This window comes from Homo sapiens, chromosome 12 (genome assembly GCF_000001405.40).
Source record: "Homo sapiens chromosome 12, GRCh38.p14 Primary Assembly".
Taxonomy (NCBI): domain Eukaryota; kingdom Metazoa; phylum Chordata; class Mammalia; order Primates; family Hominidae; genus Homo; species Homo sapiens.
The window spans coordinates 104,801,801-104,821,633 of NC_000012.12; the positions used below are offsets into that span (position 1 = coordinate 104,801,801).

The window sequence follows — 19,833 nt, forward strand, 5'->3', positions numbered from 1 at the left end:
TATGGTCAAAGCCCAATTTATTATAATTCATAAATATCATATGTATACATAAATTACCCCAGTCTCTTCTGGGAGATTTCCACACTGGCTTGATGTTCTCTAGTTCATCAAGAAGTAAGCATAACAAGACTGGATAATTATTTCTTAAATTTTATTCTTTATTTGAGTTTAAAACAATTCGAAGATGGCAGAACCCCGTTATAAATGGGTACACTATACCATAGATATAAGGCAAGGAATCCCAATTACTGATTTTTTTGAATGGCCTTTATTTGGCTATATCATTGATAGTCTATGGTGTGGAATTTTTGGACACCTACCAGAACACATATTACCATAAGTTTCCATTTTATCAGGTTCTAAGAAACTTTATTTTTGAAAGAAAAAAATGGACAAGAAAGAAAAATGTTTCTAAAAGTGTTATCTGTGTATAAATAAAGTGGCTGATAAATTAGTGAAAAGGAAGAAGTTTGGAAAGCAGAAGTTTTTATGTTGTATAAAAAGAAATACAGTGAATTCACATTACTTAAGACTGATAATAGATTATTGTTGTGGGTAAATGAGTCATTTTATCTGTTGCATACTTACGTGAAGGCTTTCAAAAGGTCAGTAATAATTTAAAGGAATCTACATCCCTTTTATAATCGGCGAATTGGTGACTAATGTTTTTATTTTTTTCTCCTGTTACATGCCTTTTAGACATTTGGTTGCTCTAACCAAGGTTGGGTAGCAAAAGAGAAAGGAGACAGAACTCTATCAGTCATTGTATTTATTTACCAGCATTTATGGCAAATGGCCAGACCTGGGCAGGGTGGTAGCAATGATAGATTTTACAAATTAAGGCATTGTTCTTTATTTCAAAATTTTCATTTACCTATATTTTCCTTGGTCTTAGAAATATGAATAATTTAGAGCTGGCAATACTCACCATCAGGATATAATAAACGGAGGTTTCTTTGTCTGAAATCCATAAAATGTAGTAATACTCTATTGTACTTTTAAAAATCCTATTTTTGCAGTTGGCTTCCTCTCAGTGAATTAGTTAGGTAGTTTTGGTACATTTGGAGGGTCATAAACATGTCATAGAAAGAGTACTGGCATTATGAAAACCTGGATGTTAGGGACTTCACAATTTGGTCATTTTGCAGCTGTACAACCTTAGAAATGTAAGTTCTCTGAATTTCGGTTTCCTCTGCTGTAAAATAGAGATAGGAATATCCATCTGATATATTTCACAGGTACTACTGTGAGTATTAAATGATATTGTGTGTTTGTGCACTGGAATGTGTAATATAATAAAGTTGTTGATTAATGCTTTAAAAATGTAGCTTGCCCTGTATATTTTTTAAAAATCAAAATAGAAATCATTGGGAAATGTAAATGTTTATGAATCTTACAGCTCAAATGCAAATAATTTACAAATGCTTTATAATAAAATCAAAGATATTCATGGATTTTTTTAAGTAAAAAATCTTTGCAGCTAAATATTCATCAACTTAAACTTATTCTTTCTTTTATAAGAATGTTCACTATGTAACATTATAACTCTCCAAAGGAGAAATTCTATAATTAGTTCAGTTCTCTGCCTTAAAAGTTTTATTATAAGGCAGAAGAATGGAATAATTGAAGTTTAAAAATAAGCAAAAATATATAACTCTAAACCACAGTCCCCTCATTTAAAAGAGCTTAACAAGAATACTTTCTGCAATATATTTATAAACAACCTAATATTTATATAATAACACAAAGTTACAACTTAAATCATGATGATCAAAGTTAATGTGCATTTTGATACCCTTATCAGCTTAAATTATTAAATATCTAACGGTCTTGAGAGATTGAATTTTAAAAAATGAACCACATGTACTTTAAAAATGGTTACCTATTCAATAACTAAGGTGTTGGTCAAGTGTTTAGAATATAGGCCAGAGTTTTAGAAAAATTATTTGAGAAATATAGTATATATGATTGGGTCCCACGTAGAAATAAGCCTGTACAAATGGATATGTTTAAGCATGAACAATAATTGAGGTAACCCACCAACTTCTTTTTTAAAAGCGTAAGTCAACGGGCTTCTTTAAAAGAGCAAATGAATCACTTGCTCATTTTAAATCTCCTATCTTGATTATATTAAATAGTACTACTTTTTAAAATAAGAAATTATTAATTATTAATTAGAGTGTAGGTAACAAATTAGCTGGGCGTTGTGGCGCATTCCTGTAATCCCAGCTACTCGGGAGGCTGAGGCAGGAGAATCACTTGAATCCAGGAGGTGGAGGTAGCAGTGAGCCGAGATCACACCACTGCATTCCAGCCTGGGCGACAGAGCAAGACTCTGTCTCAAAAAAAAAAAAAAAAAAAAAAAAAAAGAATATAGGTAACAAATAGTAAATTCTGGTCAGCAGCAAAATTTTTGGACCCAATGACAAAAACATGTTAATAGAATGTGTTTAAGAATAACTCTATATTGCTGATATTCCAACAGCACTATGATCTTTGCTATCAGCAATCCAAGATTTAGTTCTTCATCAAAAGTCTCTCTCTCTCACACACACACACACACACATTCTCGTACCGTCTTGTCTCTACAAATGCATCTCAGGTTATATTCTGTTTTTGAAGATTACATTTTTTAAAACACATCAACATTTTTCCAACAAATCAATCATCAAAAAATGACTCACTGCTTTCATTAACAATCTCTCAAGATCACTCAATGTTTAAAGATTAGCCTGACAAGAACTTGCAGAGCTGAAATTGAATTGGCATCAGAACAGGATAATTTTAGATGGAGGTAAAAGTGAGTTTATCTTATGCTCAGCAAAACATATTTAGGTCAGTTTAAATATGAGCAACTGGTAAATTTATCCTCAGCTAGCATAGAGGTGGGCATTGTTAATACGATTCAAAGCTTGGTTGGGCACTCTTCGTTTTATAGTATGCCTGGGATACAGCACATCTGTGAGACAAGAAAGGCTAAACTAGAGCTCTGCTTCTTCTAATCCTGCATTACAAATTTAATAATAAAGTACATTTCTGCTATGTTTGTGGTTTTAAAATTATTCACTGTAAACATCCTATATTCTTTCCTAATTAATTTCAGAGCTGGAACTTATATCTATGTCTATGTCAAATTATCATTTATTCTATGAAAAGCAGCACGAATACTCTTCATTCTGGTTTTGACACAAATTCCTTAAAAAAAAATTAAGGCCATTTAATTGAATCAGGGCCAACTGAAGATTACCCTGGCAAAAGTCAAACTACTGATTTAAGAGTTTTGAAAAAGAGCCATAAGTGGTTGTCGTGTATTTTCTTCCTTGGTAACTTGAGAGCAGTTTGTAGAATTTATTAGTCTCCAACATCTCCATCTCGATCTCCAATAAGCCAAAGAAAATGAAAACTTAAGGCTAACAGAGCTGTCCCGAGCAGATCACCCAATGCTGTTAGGTAGGGGATGGAGAAACTATCCGGGTCCTTTCCTTTCCTCCAGAAGTGATGGACCATCCAGTCAGCAATCCACAGCAAGGTAAATACCTAGAAGAGAACAACAGAGATTACTCCGGCTGCCTGGACATTCCTAGCCCATGAAACATGGCCACAAGCCTAAACCACTGGCTTCTGGAAGGGACCGTATGTGTCTAAGTCAAGAACCATGCTTGAAAATAAGAAATACTTAGATGACAAGAATACTTTCATTTCACAAGAAAAAAAACAGCATGTATGTTTACAGGTACTAAAATTTTTCTTCAACTTTTCATATAGATCTCATTCTAGCCTCCCAATAGCCATAATAATTTGGATATTTTAATAGCACTGTACAGTTTCCAAAAGACTGTTTTTCTATGTGATAAACCTGTGAAAAAGGAAGACATTATGAAGAAGGAAATAAAAATTTAAATAAGGAATTATTTAACAGTCTCCTGCTGCAGGTATATCAAATAAAGATGGAAAACTGACCATTCGTTTACTAATTATAAGGCCATTTTTGACTTGTCAAGGAAAATTTCAGTGCAGTAGTAAGACCAATAACTAGAAGGTAAATGCATTTAGAAATGGCTCATCTATGTAGTTATAGATAGATATATACATAAAATGGAAATATTTTAAAAGATTATTCAAACATGAAGATGCTGTATATAAATATTTTCTAGAATATCAGGAATATAAAGACTTTTGTGAAGCTTTGAATTTTGGGACCAGATAAATGTTTTTTTCTTTGATCCACCTAGAGTAGGGGGATTTTCTTTATTTATTTATTTTTACTTTATTTTTTACTATACTTTAAGTTTTAGGGTACATGTGCACAACGTGCAGGTTTGTTACGTATGTATACATGTGCCATGTTGGTGTGCTGCACCCATTAACTTGTCATTTAGCATTAGGTTTATCTCCTAATGCTATCCCTCCCCACTCCCCCCACCCCACAACAGGCCCCGGTGTGTGATGTTCCCCTTCCCGTGTCCATGTGTTCTCATTGTTCAATTCCCACCTATGAGTGAGAACATGCAGCGTTTGGTTTTTTGTCCTTGCGATAGTTTGCTGAGAATGATGGTTTCCAGCTTCATCCATGTCCCTACAAAGGACATGAACTCATCCTTTTTTATGGCTGCATAGTATTCCATGGTGTATATGTGCCACATTTTCTTAATCCAGTCTATCATTGTTGGACATTTGGGTTGGTTCCAAGTCTTTGTTATTGTGACTAGTGCTGCAATAAACATACATGTGCATGTGTCTTTACAGCAGCATGATTTATAATCCTTTGGGTATATACCCAGTAATGGGATGGCTGGGTCAAATGGTATTTCTAGTTCTAGATCCCTGAGGAATCGCCACACTGACTTCCACAATGGTTGAACTAGTTTACAGTCCCACCAACAGTGTAAAAGTGTTCCTATTTCTCCACATCCTCTCCAGGACCTGTTGTTTCCTGACTTTTTAATGATTGCCATTCTAACTGGTGTGAGATGTTATCTCATTGTGGTTTTGAATTGCATTTCTCTGATGGCCAGTGATGATGAGCATTTTTTCATGTGTCTTTTGGCTGCATAAATGTCTTCTTTTGAGAAGTGTCTGTTCATATCCTTTGCCCACTTGTTGATGGGGTTGTTTGTTTTTTTCTTGTAAACTTGTTTGAGTTCATTGTAAATTCTGGTTATTAGCCCTTTGTCAGATGAGTAGATTGCAAAAATTTTCTCCCATTCTGTAGGTTGCTTGTTCACTCTGATGGTAGTTTCTTTTGCTGTGCAGAAGCTCTTTAGTTTAATTAGATCCCATTTGTCAATTTTGGCTTTTGTTGCCATTGCTTTTGGTGTTTTAGACGTGAAGTCCTTGCCCATGCCAATGTCCTGAATGGTATTGCCTAGGTTTTCTTCTAGGGTTTTTATGGTTTTAGGTCTAACATTTAAGTCTTTAATCCATCTCGAATTAATTTTTGTATAAGGTGTAAGGAAGGGATCCAGTTTCAGCCTTCTACATATGGCTAGCCAGTTTTCCCAGCACCATTTATTAAATAGGGAATCCTTTCCCCATTTCTTGTTTTTGTCAGGTTTGTCAAAGATCAGATAGTTGTAGATATGTGGCATTATTTCTGAGGGCTCTGTTCTGTTCCATTGGTCTATATCTCTGTTTTGGTACAGTACCATGCTGTTTTGGTTACTGTAGCCTTGTAGTATAGTTTGAAGTCAGGTAGTGTGATGCCTCCAGCTTTGTTCTTTTGGTTTAGGATTGACTTGGCAATGCTGGCTCTTTTTTGGTTCCATATGAACTTTAAAGTAGTTTTTTCCAATTCTGTGAAGAAAGTCATTGGTAGCTTGATGGGGATGGCACTGAATCTATAAATTACCTTGGGCAGTATGGCCATTTTCATGATATTGATTCTTCCTGCCCATGAGCATGGAATGTTCTTCTATTTGTTTGTATCCTCTTTTATTTCATTGAGCAGTGGCTTGTAGTTCTCCTTGAAGAGGTCCTTCACGTCCCTTATAAGTTGGATTCCTAGGTATTTTATTCTCTTTGAAGCAATTGTGAATGGGAGTTCACTCATGATTTGGCTCTCTGTTTGTCTGTTATTGGTGTATAAGAATGCTTGTGATTTTTGCACATTGATTTTGTATCCTGAGACTTTTCTGAAGTTGCTTATCAGCTTAAGGAGATTTTGGGCTGAGACGATGGGGTTTTCTAGATATACAATCATGTCATCTGCAAACAGGGACAATTTGACTTCCTCTTTTCCTTAATTAAATACCCTTTATTTCCTTCTCCTGCCTGATTGCCCTGGCCAGAACTTCCAACACTATGTTGAATAGGAGTGGTGAGAGAGGACATCCCTGTCTTGTGCCAGTTTTCAAAGGGAATGCTTCCAGTTTTTGCCCATTCAGTATGATATTGGCTGTGGGTTTGTCATAGATAGCTCTTATTATTTTGAGATATGTCCCATCAATACCTAATTTATTGAGAGTTTTTAGCAGGAAGCATTGTTGAATTTTGTCAAAGGCCTTTTCTGCATCTATTGAGATAATCATGTGGTTTTTGTCGTTGGTTCTGTTTATATGCTGGATTATGTTTATTGATTTGTGTATGTTGAACCAGCCTTGCATCCCAGGGATGAAGCCCACTTGATCATGGTGGATAAGCTTTTTGATGTGCTGCTGGATTCGGTTTGCCAGTATTTTACTGAGGATTTTTGCATCGATGTTCATTAGGGATATTGGTCTAAAATTCTCTTTTTTTGTTGTGTCTCTGCCCAGCTTTGGTATCAGGATGATGCTGGCCTCATAAAATGAGTTAGGGAGGATTCCCTCTTTTTCTATTGATTGGAATAGTTTCAGAAGGAATGGTACCAGCTCCTCCTTGTACCTCTGGTGGAATTCGGCTGTGAATCCATCTGGTCCTGGACTTTTTTTGGTTGGTAAGCTATTGATTATTGCCTCAATTTCAGAGCCTGTTATTGGTCTATTCAGAGATTCAACTTCTTCCTGGTTTAGTCCTGGGAGGGTGTATGTGTCAAGGAATTTATCCATTTCTTCTAGATTTTCTAGTTTATTTGCGTAGAGGTGTTTATAGTATTCTCTGATGGTAGTTCATATTTCTGTGGGATTTTTAAATTTTCAAACCCCTGAAGCAGCAAAATAAATTTGGGACTAGAAAGGATAATGTTCATGGTTTTGGACAAGTTGGCAAGTATAGCACAGTGGTTAAAAGCACTTCTTTACAGCCCTTCTCTATTGTCTACTAGCTGACTGAAGGCAAGTTACTCAACCTTTCTGACTCTATATATCCAAATGAACATTAAAATGGTACTTACCTTGTAAGAATGTTCTGAGGATTAAATAATATACTAAATAATTCAGTGCCTGGCACACAATAAACTTTCAATAAATGTCTGTTATTAGTCTATTTTAACAGGATTATTCTTATTACTATTTGTGGCCCCTGGTATGTGCAGGAGGAAGCCCACCCCAGGTCCACGGTCTAGGCCAAGAGACCTTTCACTAACCTGGCAAGTAGGCCGTGGGTGTGAGGCATTTGCCTTGGGACCCAAACTGCTGTGTGCTATCATTTTAGCTCTAACACCTTTACCAGGAAGGAGAGTGGCTTGTCCAAACGTAGGAAGACATGTACCTATTCCAAAGGCATGAATTTTACATGCCTTTGGACATCTGTCAGAGAGAGGTTGTACTTTAAGCCCTATTGTCTTTTCCATGTGGTCAATTCTTCATTAGTGTTTCACTGGTAGAGACTGTTTTGGAATCATATAAAGTTTTGCTAGGACAATGTGTTTTGGGTATGGAGGAAGCATGAAATATTAGAAAGAATCCTGGAGTGGGAAGTTGTAAAATCTGGATTTGATTTTCAGTTCTGCCTTTGGGTAAATTTCTTACCACTCTGAGCCTAGTATTCTCATTTGAAGAAAATATGGGGCCTAATATCTGCCAAACTTACTTCGAAATAATAAGAGCCTTGGTTTGGGGGATGAAAGGAAAGGCAAAAAGGCAGCATGATGTCAAGTTCTATCACTAAAAGCATAGTGCACAGACTGAGAGAAAGAGAGTCATCCCATGGGACCCCCCCAGTGAGCCAGGCCACATCTAGGCTCTGTTTTGGATGCCCTATTTTCAGAGAAACTGGTTCACACCTGCGTCTTCAGTACCTAGCAAAGTGACTAACTTAAAAAGTAGACAACATCTGATTGACGGAATGCAAATCAGCTTGAGACAGTGTCATATAGGAGATTCCTATGAGAATAAGAATTGTTTGTCCTGGGCAAGGAGGGTAGGAGATGTGAACTTAAGACAAAGATTATCATGTCAGCAGACGCTAGGTATATAATATGTTGCTTCAGAGAGTAGAGTGTTAGGTTAAGGAAGAAAAGACCAAAAGCAGAACTTAAAAAAAATTTGGCTATCTATAAATAGAACAAGTTATGCAGTAAACTCAAAATTACTGAAGTATATGGAGGTAAATTTACCTTCTGTATGGAGGTAAATTTGCTGATTGAATAAGTAATGTATACAGGAGGAAACAATAGCTTTTAAAAGAATGAGGGTAGCTAATTTCTCTGGGATTAGCAAGAAAAATAAATGAATAAATTTATATTACATATTATAATATTACATGTTTACATATTAACAATGTGTTAAATACATACTTATATACACAGATTTATATATTATATGATACATACACCATTTAGTAATTTATTGTATAATATTTGCCCTGAATGATTTTTCTAGAGTAAGGTTGGCAAACTACAGCCCATGGGCCAAATTCAGTCTGCCACCTATTTTTGTAAATAACGTTTTATTGGAACGCAACTCAACCCATTGTTTACTTATTGCCTATTTAGCCGATTATTCCTTGCCACATTCTCAGGAAGTAGGTAGGTTTACTATTCCTAATGTTCATTTGGAGAAATTGAGTCGGAGAGGTTAAGTGGCTATGTAGTTGTCACAGAGAGCATATGGTCCACTAATCCTCTGACATATAAAAAAAGCTAAGGCAAAGTCCAAGAAACCTGCCCACGATCACACAGCTTGCAGGTGGAGTCAGGCTCAAATTCACAGAGTCCAACACTAAAGCCCATGCTCTCAACCATCACTACAGTACCTTGTTTTAGTAAAAATAGAACTTTACATTGATGAGAGCGTAAACTGGTACAACTACTTTGGAGAACAATTTGGTAATATCTATTAAATGTGAAAATGTGTATCTCCTTAGTTCAGCAATCCTACATAGAAATAATGATTTTTTTTTCCTGTGCCACTGGGGAAAAATAAAATTGTTCATGGCCAAAGGATACTAGCTCAGGGGCTCTGCTGACTCTAGGTCTTCCTGTTGCTACCCTAAGGACTGAGAAGACCAGTATCTTGGTGTACTTATGGAAACCATACAGAGAAATTCTTATACAAGCATACTGAGAGATGTGCAAGAATATTCACCACGTCTGTTGTAAGAGCAAAAAATTGTATCTATTGACACAGAATGGCTAAATTCACTGTTAAGTCACACAATTGAACACTATATAGAAGCAAAAATAAATGAAAATGAACTATATAAATCAACATGAATATATCTCAAAAGCACAAGACTATGCATATCATTTTAATAAAGTGTATAAGTATAAAACTATGTTGTTTATAGATATATACATTTGTAGCAATAGTATAATAAATAGTTTAGTATAATGGCAAGAATAGATGCCAATTTAGAATGCTGATAACTGTTAGGGAGGGATGAAATGAGCACAAGAAGGGATAAACAGGAGTTACCAACCATATATATGATGCATTTTTATTTATTTTGAAATATTTGCTTCGGATCATTGATAAAGCTGAGTGGTAAATACATTGTTATCTTATTTCCTATTACTTCCTGTATGTTTATATTTCATAATTTTAAAAAATGTAAACCATTGTGTTAATGGTAACTCACTGACCAGGGCCGCATGAGCTACAACTTAGAATATCTACTGAGAGGGACACATGAGAAAAGAAGTCAGTATGTCCTGTAGAATCCACGAAAGGTTTGGACTTGGAAGTATTAGATGGTGCTGAGGCTGAAAGCAAGGCTAAGGCCAAAAGATTACTTACATGTCTGTGTGTAGAGCTAGCTCCACATTCACCATTTCTGCAAACTGTCCTCTCCATGTAGGAAAATAGAAGGATGTTTTCTGGAGAAACTGAGTGGTAGAGATGCAGGACTCAAGGACACTAGAAACTATGAGGTACTAGCTGAGAATCAGGGATAATTGAGAGTCTGCATACCTAACCAGAGGATTCCTCTAGACTTGTATTTTGTTCTGAGAACAGTGGCAGGCAGGAGGATGACCTCCAGAGAGGAGAGCAGATGCTCACATTTGGAGGCCCCCAGTTAAATGGTCAGTCCCCATGTCCTTTAATAGTAAAGCATCCAGTGAACAGCCCACCCCTACTTCCATGTTACTTAACCTCTCCATGTCTCAGTCTCCTCCCCGTTCAAGACAGAGATGTGATGTGAATGTTAAATAATGCAGAATGGTTAGAACAGTGTTTGGCACATTGGAAGAACTTAAAAAATTTGCTATGATTTTTAAAAACAGGTTATTTATGAAGAAATAAGAATCTGATTTTTTTCAACAGCAATACTGGGAGACAAGGAGTAACATCTTCAAAATCCTGAGAGTGAAATATTTCCAATCTATACATCTGTGCCCAATTTATCAGTCAAGTGTTGAGAGTAAATGAAAGGCCTTTTAAGTAATGCATGCACTCAGAAAATATTTCTCCCATGTTCTCTTTCTTTGGAACTATCTAGAAAATGTGTTGAAGCAAAATGAGGGCTTGAACCGAGAGAAAAATGGGATTCAGGAAATGGAAGAGGCAACATAACAGAGCAGTGAGAGAAGGTTCCAGGATGACAGCTGTGCAGTGGCCCGGGGCACCAAAGCCAGACCAGGAAGGTGGAATGCTCTGGATACCAGGTCTCCATGATAAAGGCAAGTGGGCAAATTATCTGATATAATAAACTTTTGAGGGGCAAAACACTAATTTAGGTATGTGATAGCTATTGATGGAGCACTTGCAAAAAAAAAAATTAAGAAATTTAAAAATTCAGGCCAGGCATGGTGGCTCACGCCTGTAATCCCCAGCTGTTTGGGAGGCCAAGGAGGTGGATCACCTGAGGTCAGGAGTTTGAGACCAGCCTGGCCAACATGGTGAAACCCCATCTGTACTAAAAATACAAAAATTAGCCAGATGTGGTGGTGCACGCCTGTAATCCCAGCTACTTGGGAGGCTGAGGCAGGAGAATCGCTTGAACCCAAGAGGTGGAGGTGGCAGTGAGCTGAGATTGTGCCACTGCACTCCAGCCTGGGCGACAGAGCAAGACTCTGTCTCAAAAAAGAAAAAAAAATAAAATAAAAAATTCAGAAATGTAGAAAACTATGCAAGTGGAAAAATATGGTAATGATCTCCAGAAGAAAATTAAAAAGAGATAAAGGGAAAGAAAATAGAATACACTACATGGCTCTGTGAGAAATGACATTTATAAGTCATAGTAATAAAACAATTTATTAAAAAAAGATTGAGCATTACTACACTAGGAGGATGGAAGGTGGGGAAATAAGGCACAGGGCAAGGTAGCAAAATCCTCGTCTATGACAACTAGAAGTCAATAGATAATTTCTCAAGTTAATAAAGCAAAATTAGCAATCCAAACAAAATATAGGGATAAATAACAAAATAAATAGCTAAAGGAGCTCTGGAGGACTATTTAGTAGTTAAAGAGTTTTACACAAACACACACACAGAATTTAAATATATATGTATATATCCATATAAATACAAATGGGTTTTTTGTTTTGTTTTGTTTGAGATAGAGTCTCGTTCTGTTGTCCAGGCTAGAGTACCGTGGCATAATCTCAACTCACTGCAACCTCTGTTTCCCAGGTTCAAGTGATTCTCCTGCCTCAGCCTCCTGAGTAGCTAGGACTACAGGTGCGCACCACCACACCCGGCTAATTTTTGTATTTTTCATAGACATGGGGCTTCACCATGTTGGCCAGGCTGGTCTCGAACTCCTGACCTCAGGTGATCTGCCCACCTTGGCCTCCCAAAGTGCTGGGATTACAGGCTTGAGCCTCCGCACCCAGTCACAACTGGCTGTTAAAAAATTGAAATAGAATAGAATGGACTAGAATAGAAAGTAGCATGTGTAACACACTGTAAGGGTATTTCGTAAAACTTTTAGCTATGAATTTACACATATTTATGTATGTATATGTTTCAGAATAAACATATTTCTTACAAGTGCTGTGGTCAAAACATATGAAATCTACTCAGTCAGGCATGGTGGCTCACATCTGTAATCCTAGCACATTGGGAGGCCAAGGCAGGTGGATCACTTGAGCCCAGGAGTTTGAGACCAGCTTGGGCAACAAAGTGGGACCCTGTCTCTACAAAAATTATAAAAATTAGCCCCCTGTAGACCCAACTACTCAGGTTGAGGTGGGAGGATCCCTTGAGTCCAGGAGGCAGAGCTTGCAGTGAGCTGAGATCTCACCACTGCACTCCAGCCTGGGTGAAAGAGCAAGATTGTGTCTCACAACAAACAAACAAACAAAAAAACACTACTCATCTTACAGATACTTCTTACATGTTAGGTTGTAGGGATCTAATGTGTCAATCCCCGAAAGAAGAAAACCATGTCTTCTTTCTGTTTGATCCCTTGGTTTCTAGCAAAATACTTATACATGACAAATGAAACAAATGTTTGCTATTGAAGAAGCTCTATCACTGAATAACTGTTACTGTCTACAAGTGAAAAAAAAAACTCTCCAAGTCTTAGTTTCCTCATCTGTACAATGAGGTTATCATTACCTACCTGATGGACTGATTGCCAAAATTAAACAAGATAATATAGGTAAAGGGCTAAGCAAATGCTTGGTTTATAGTAAGTACTAAGTAAATATTGGTGCCATCATCACTAATACATCAATTATTACACTGTCTCAGAATTTATGGACTTTATTTAAAAGATTGTTGGAATAGAAGTCTGGTTTCTAACACTAACCAGTTATATTTGTCACTTCTCTGATCCCTCAGTCTTTAAAACGAATAAATTTATGTCTTCATAGTCTGTTCTAGCTCTAAATTATAGAGCTAAGAAATTTCATTGTCAACTATGCAGAAATTGCTCTATTCACCTTTGTGATATTCCCTCTCTGCCTTTGCACATTCTCATTCCATTTATTGGATTTACTTATACAATATGAATAAAGTTTTCTTCCCGTGCAATTTATTTTTAAAGGTATTGTGATGACATAGTTCAAGCGGGTTTAAATTTATTCGTTTTTTGCAAGTCAGCAAAAGATATCTGTTTCCTTGGAACTCTGTGTGTAATAAATTATTAAAATGACAATAAGTAGCAGACACTTCTTAAATGCAACATTTTTTGTTTTAAAGCTGAATGATAATTTAAGGAATGCAGGCTTTTCCTTGGGAAAGCACACTGAACACACCAAGGGTAGACTGTGTTTTTATATCATCTGTTTGTTCTTTATGAAATATGCATAACCTCTCTAGGTAAATATGCCTTTTGAAAAGGCAACTTTGTAACCTCAGCTAATTATGCATGTTCTAAATATATTTCTTGGAATTTAAATAAATATATAAAGTACAAAATATATATATTTGCTTTGGATGATATTGATTCCTTCAGCCAGCTCCTTCTTTGAGCTAGAATCAACATTCCCTTGTGTTAGCATCCCCTTAATGCCTCAACTGCCAATAAACACCTTGTATATAGTGTGAAGAAAGATGATTTCTTTGGGAGAGGAAGGCTTAGAAATATGATACAAATAAACCCGAGAAGTAGCAAATTAATACAGTTCTTCCTAACCCCTAGCTTTACAAAGGTTGAATTCATGTCCCCTACAAAAATATGCTTCCCTAATCCAGGTTTCCAGGCTGGAAACCCTACTCATTAAAATCTAATATAAATCTAATAAATATTTAAATGTCTGCTAAGAATAATTTAGCATTATCAATCAACAGGAATTCAGTCTACTTCTTTTATATTCAGATATAAGCATCTTTTCTTTGGCTTGAACTATTTTGTTGGGTGGCAGGTGGGGGAAGGTGGGAAATAAATGGTGTCGCTGAAAAGAAAACTAATGTTTGATCACCTACCTTTTTTCCTCCTGGGTACTATGGTGGGTATTATTATCTCTATTTTCAGAAGAGAAAATTTAGATGCAGAAAGGTGAAGTGGTTGCCCGGTAACACAGCTAGCAAGTGGTAGAGTCAAACCCAGGTCTGTTTGATTCCAAAGCCCACACTGCTTCTCCCATACCACATTACCCCTGCTGGGCACTGACTGGGGGCAGCCAGAAAGGAGAACGAAGTGTTTCTACTTGTAGATACGAAAAAACAAAAATAGAAACACAACCCAAAAAACAAGAACACAAAAAAAGACCAAGATGAAACTTCCATTTTTAGCAGCATTATAAACAAAATACCCCAAATGACCTACCAACAGAAAACGATGTAAAATGTTCAATAAAATACAAAAACTATCTTTTAAAGTGCATCACTGAGCTGGCACGAAGGAAAGGAATCCTTGGAGGCCCAAAACAAAGGGAAACAGCATGCCAGGGTAAGACTCTGAGGATCCTGAGCAGGCGGCTGCCCTGGGCCACTTGTGCCCTCTGCCTCTCCAGGGGACATGGAGGCATCCTCTGCTGGTTTTGATGGTGGCACAGGGCACAGCAGACAGGAGACAAAAGCAAGGCCTGTCTCAGGTAGAGAGTCTAATAAAAGAAGATTTTCACATAAAATAAAAAGCTGCACCTCTGAATAAGAAATAAACCAGCCCCCACAGAAGGAGCAGGAAAGAAACTTATCTGACTGTGGTACTAACATGGTGGGAAAAAAGTCTCCCCTAAAAATTTACAACCACAATGTGACCCTTACATGGATTTGCGCAGGATCCAACTACCTATGTGGTCTAACAATCCCAAATTGAGGACAGTTGTCCCTCGGTATCCATAGGGGAGGATTGGTTGCAGGACCCCCCTCCCGCAAGGATACCAAAATCCAAGGATACTCAAGTCCTTTACATAAAATGGTGTAGTATTTGTATATAACGTATGCATATCTTCCCATATACAATTATGCTTTGCTTAATAACAGGGATACATTCTGAGAAATGCATCGTTAGGCAATTTCATCACCGTGCAAACATCAGAGAGTGTATGTACACAAACCTAGATGGTATGGTCTACCACACACCTGGGCTATATGGTACAGCCTGTTGTTCCTAGTCTACAAACTATATAGCATGTATGTGACTGTACTGAATACTGTAGGCAACTGTAACAGAACCAGAAGTATTTGTATACCTAAACACAGAAAAGTTGCAGTAAATATACAGTATAAAAGATAAAAAATGGTACACTTACCATGTAGGGCACTTACCATGAATGAAGATTGCAGGACTGGAAGTTGCTTTGGGTGAGTCAGTGAATGAGTAGTAAGTGAATGTGAAGGCCTGGGACATTACTATACACTAATGTAGACATTAAAAATACTGTACACTTAGGCTACACTAAACATATAAAAATCTTTTTGCTAATCATTTAACTTAGCTGACAGTAACTTTACTTTATAAATTTTTTAATTGTTTTTTACTTTTTAAACACTTTTGTAATGACAAAACACAAAATCATTGTACAGCTGTACAAAAATATTTTCCTTCTTTATATCGTTATCCTATAGGCTTTTTCCTATTTTTATTTTTTCTTTGCCTCTCCTCTTTTTTTTTCTATTTTTGAGTTTTTACTTTTAAACTTTTTTGAATATAGTAGTAAGTACACAAACCAGTAACAGTTGTTTACTATCATTATCAAGTATTATGTACTATACATAATGAAATGTGCTAGACTTCTATATGATTGGCAATGCAGCAGGTTTGTTTATACCAGTGTAACTGGGACACACTAGATAACTAGCGTACACACTAGGTACAGCATAACTAGTAACACACTAGGACGGTACAGCCACGACATCACTAGGTGACAGGAATTTTTCAGCTCCATTATAATCATAGGATGCAATCATATATGTGGTCTGTTATTGACCAAAACCTTGATACACAGCACATGACTACACTTGAAAATTGTTAAAAGAGTAGATTTTAAATGTTCTCATCACAAAAAAATGATAATTTTGTGAGGAATGGATATGTTAATTAGCTTGATTTAGCCACTCCACAATGAATACATATATCAAAACAGCATGTTGTATACTATAAATATATACAATCCTTATTTGTCAATTTAAAAATAAAAAGCATCAATGCTTAAAAAGAGCAAGAGCTCGGTGTAAATAGTCATATGACATAGACATGAAATGAAACAAGATACTAATAGCAAAAATAATAGAAAGCAGAATCAGAACCTGAAGGATTTTAGACACTGGAAAAATCTGGCACAGAATATAAGTATCATATTTTTAAAGAAAAAGAAGAAATGAACAAATTAGTTAGAAAACCAACTAGAACTTTTAGAAATAAAAATTTCATCCTCTGAAATTTAACTCAATAAATAGGTGAGATTAATAGCACATTAGACACACTTGAATATATAAGTAATGAAAGATGAATCTAGAGGAATGGAAAGTAGCACAAAGATATAAAGAGTTGGGAAATATGAAAATAGATGCCATAAATATGGAGGATAGCATAAATATGTAGGATAGTAATTCTCAAGCACATCTATTTGGAGATCCAGAAGGAAAGAAAAGAGAAAACAGGACAGCCGGGTGCGGTGGCTCATACCTGTAAGCCCAACACTTTGGGAGGCTGAGGTGGGCAGATCACGAGGTCAGGAGTTCAAGACCTGCCTGGCCAACATGGTGAAACCCCATCTCTACTAAAAATACAAAAATTAGCTGGGCGTGGTGGCAAGCACCTGTAATCCCAGCTACTCGGGAGGTTGAGGCAGGAGAATTGTTTGAACCCAGGGGGCAGAGGTTGCAGTAAGCCAAGATTGTGCCATTGCACTCCAGCCTGGGCGACAGGGCAAGACTCCATCTCAAAATAAATAAATAAATAAATAAATAAAATTTAAAGAGAAAGTCACCATCTTAGTGGGAGATGTTATAACCCATTTCTCTGAGAAATTAATAAATCAACTGTATAAAATCTGAAAAAACACAGATCATTTCAAATATACAATCAACAAATTTGATCTAATGGATGTATACAGAATACTGTAGCCAACATTTAGAAAATATACTTTTTTTTCAAACGCATAGGTAATATTCATAAAAACTGTCCACATACTAGGCAATAAGAATATTCTCAATAAAATCCCAAAGGATTACTGTCACAAAGGCCACACTCCCTAATTGCAGTACAGGTAGAAATCAGTAACAGATAGCAAAAAAACCCCATATTTTTGGACATTTTAAAATATACTTCAAATTAAATCATGTGTCAAAGGGAAATCATAATGCAAATTATTAAATATGTAGAGCTAATCAATAATTAAATCTTATGTATCAAAATTGTAGAATGCTGGAAATGCAGCACCTAAATGGTTACGTTAGAAAAGAAAGACTGAAAATAAATGAGCTATGTATTTATATCTAGAAGTTAGAAAAAGAACAATAAACCTAAGGTAGAATGAAAAAATATTAAAGGTACGTACAAACATTAATAGAAAACAAACATGATAGTGAAGACAAAGTCAAAGTTGATCCTCTGAAAAGGCAAATAAGACTAATAAATGTTAGATAATCTTAAGATAAAAAGAGAAGATACAAATAAACTATGAAGAATGAGTACTGTGCTAGATATTGACTATTGGCACTCAGCATCCATTCTCACTCCTTTTACAGTCTTTCTTACAGAGAGAGAAACACCTAGAGCTATAATTCTCAGACTCCCTTACCAGTAGGGTTCCAGCTAGAGATTAGGTTACACCATGTTGCACTCATGTAAGACTTTGGCAGTATGAATTCAGTAGAATCCCCTTTCCCCAACCCTTCTTTTCCTCCTGTAAGGATACAATGCTGTGGAGTCTTTAGTAGGTATGAGTTTTCACAAGAGCTGACTGGATTCTGCATTCTTCAGCCAGTTAACAGCCTCAAGGTCTGGGAATAGCTGTGATGCTGTAGTAGTTGTGTTAAGTTTCCTAACGTCTCAGTAATATCAGGCATCCTGACTCTCTGGACCAAATCTGCTACAGCAAACCTAAAGCCAGTGTCAGCTCCCTTCCCTCCACACTGGCTTTCTGTCCTCCCACCCTGCCAAGGTCTAATAATGCTTTCAAATACCTTCCTCCATTCCTATCAACACACCTCTATGAGACTGGTATGAGCATCAGTAAACCAAATCTAGGCCAGGCATGGTGGGTCATCCCTGTAATCCTAGTGCTTTGGGAGGCCAAGGCCAGAGAATTGCTTGAAACCAGTAGTTTGAGACCAGCCTTGGCAACATGATGAGACCCTGTGTCTACTTAAAAATAAAAAAGCCAGGCATGGCGGTGCACACCTGTAGTTCTAGCTACTCAGGAGGCTGAGGCAAGAGGATCACCTTAAGCCGAGGAGTTCAAGGTTACAGTGAGCTATAATCATGCTACTGCACTGCAGCCTGGGCAACACAGTGAGACCCATCTCTTTTAATAACAAAACAAAACAAAACCTAGAAACAATTTACGTATACATTATCCTTGTCAATAGTGTTACAGCAGAGTAGATAAGTTAACAAGAAACAAGGTCATTTGTCATATTTAACGTTTTAAATATTTACGTACTTGACATTTAATGAAAATATGCACATAGTTATTTAATGTAGGGAATTTTTTTCTTTTTCCAGACAGAGTTTCGCTCTTGTCGCCCAGGCTGGAGTGCAATGGTGCGATCTTGGCCCACTGCAACCTCCCCCTCCTGGGTTCAAGTGATTCTCCTGCCTCAGCCTTCCGAAGTAGGTAGGATTACAGGTGCCCGCCACCATGCCCAGCTAATTTTTTCGTATTTTTAGTTGAGACGGGGTTTCATCATGTTGGCCAGGCTGGTCTTGAACTCCTGACCTCAGGTGATCCACTCACCTCAGCCTCCCAAAGTGCTGGGATTACAGGCATGAGCCACTGTGCCCCGCCTAATGCAGGGAATTTCTATATCACTCTTGACTTTTTATTTAGTTCTAATGCGAAAAGACAAAAAGTCGTGAGTATAATAACAATCTTCTATATTGTTATACAAGAACTTTCAGTGAACAATGTGTACAGTTTCTGTGATTCTTTTCTTTTCCTCTATGTTTCTTCTGGCTGTATTTCTTGAAATGTAATTTTATATCTGTTGAATCTAATAATTTAAAAATCAGGGCTTTAAAAATATGTAGATATGTATTTTACATTACATATATAGAGAGAGAGTTGGTTTCCTTTATAAACCTATGTATTTTATTGCATGCATTTAAAAACCTTAATTTGAGAAGAATCCCATAATATTAAAAAAAATTCCCAAGGAGTCCATGACATAAAATGGTTAAGATCTTCTTTACAAAATAAACTCTTATAATACGTTCCAGGAGACCTACATGATAACATTCATAACCTTGATTTTTAATAGCAAAAAACTAAAAACAATCTAAAAAGTCCATTAAAAGAAAAATGGTTGAATACATTGTGGAATATTCACACAATAGAATACTATGTAACAGTAAAATAGCTGAATGGTAGTCCCGCTAAATATAGTAGATGAATAATACTTACATATATGAATGAATCTCAAATACAATGCTGAGCAAAAAAAGTCGCTTAAGCATATATTCAGTATGATTCAATTT

General features: G+C 36.5%; 1 protein-coding gene across 17 annotated transcripts in view; it reads right to left on the minus strand.

Moving 5' to 3' along the window:
- Nucleotides 1–19,833, minus strand: part of SLC41A2 (solute carrier family 41 member 2) — a 156,946-nt gene continuing 137,113 nt past the window's right edge. For all 17 annotated transcript variants that reach the window (NM_001387125.1, NM_001352169.2, XM_047429648.1 and 14 more), the window contains one exon: nucleotides 1–3,537. In NM_001387125.1, coding sequence (NP_001374054.1) covers nucleotides 3,352–3,537 — 186 coding nt within the window. In that variant the 3' untranslated portion in view covers nucleotides 1–3,351. The remainder of the gene's footprint in view (nucleotides 3,538–19,833) is intronic.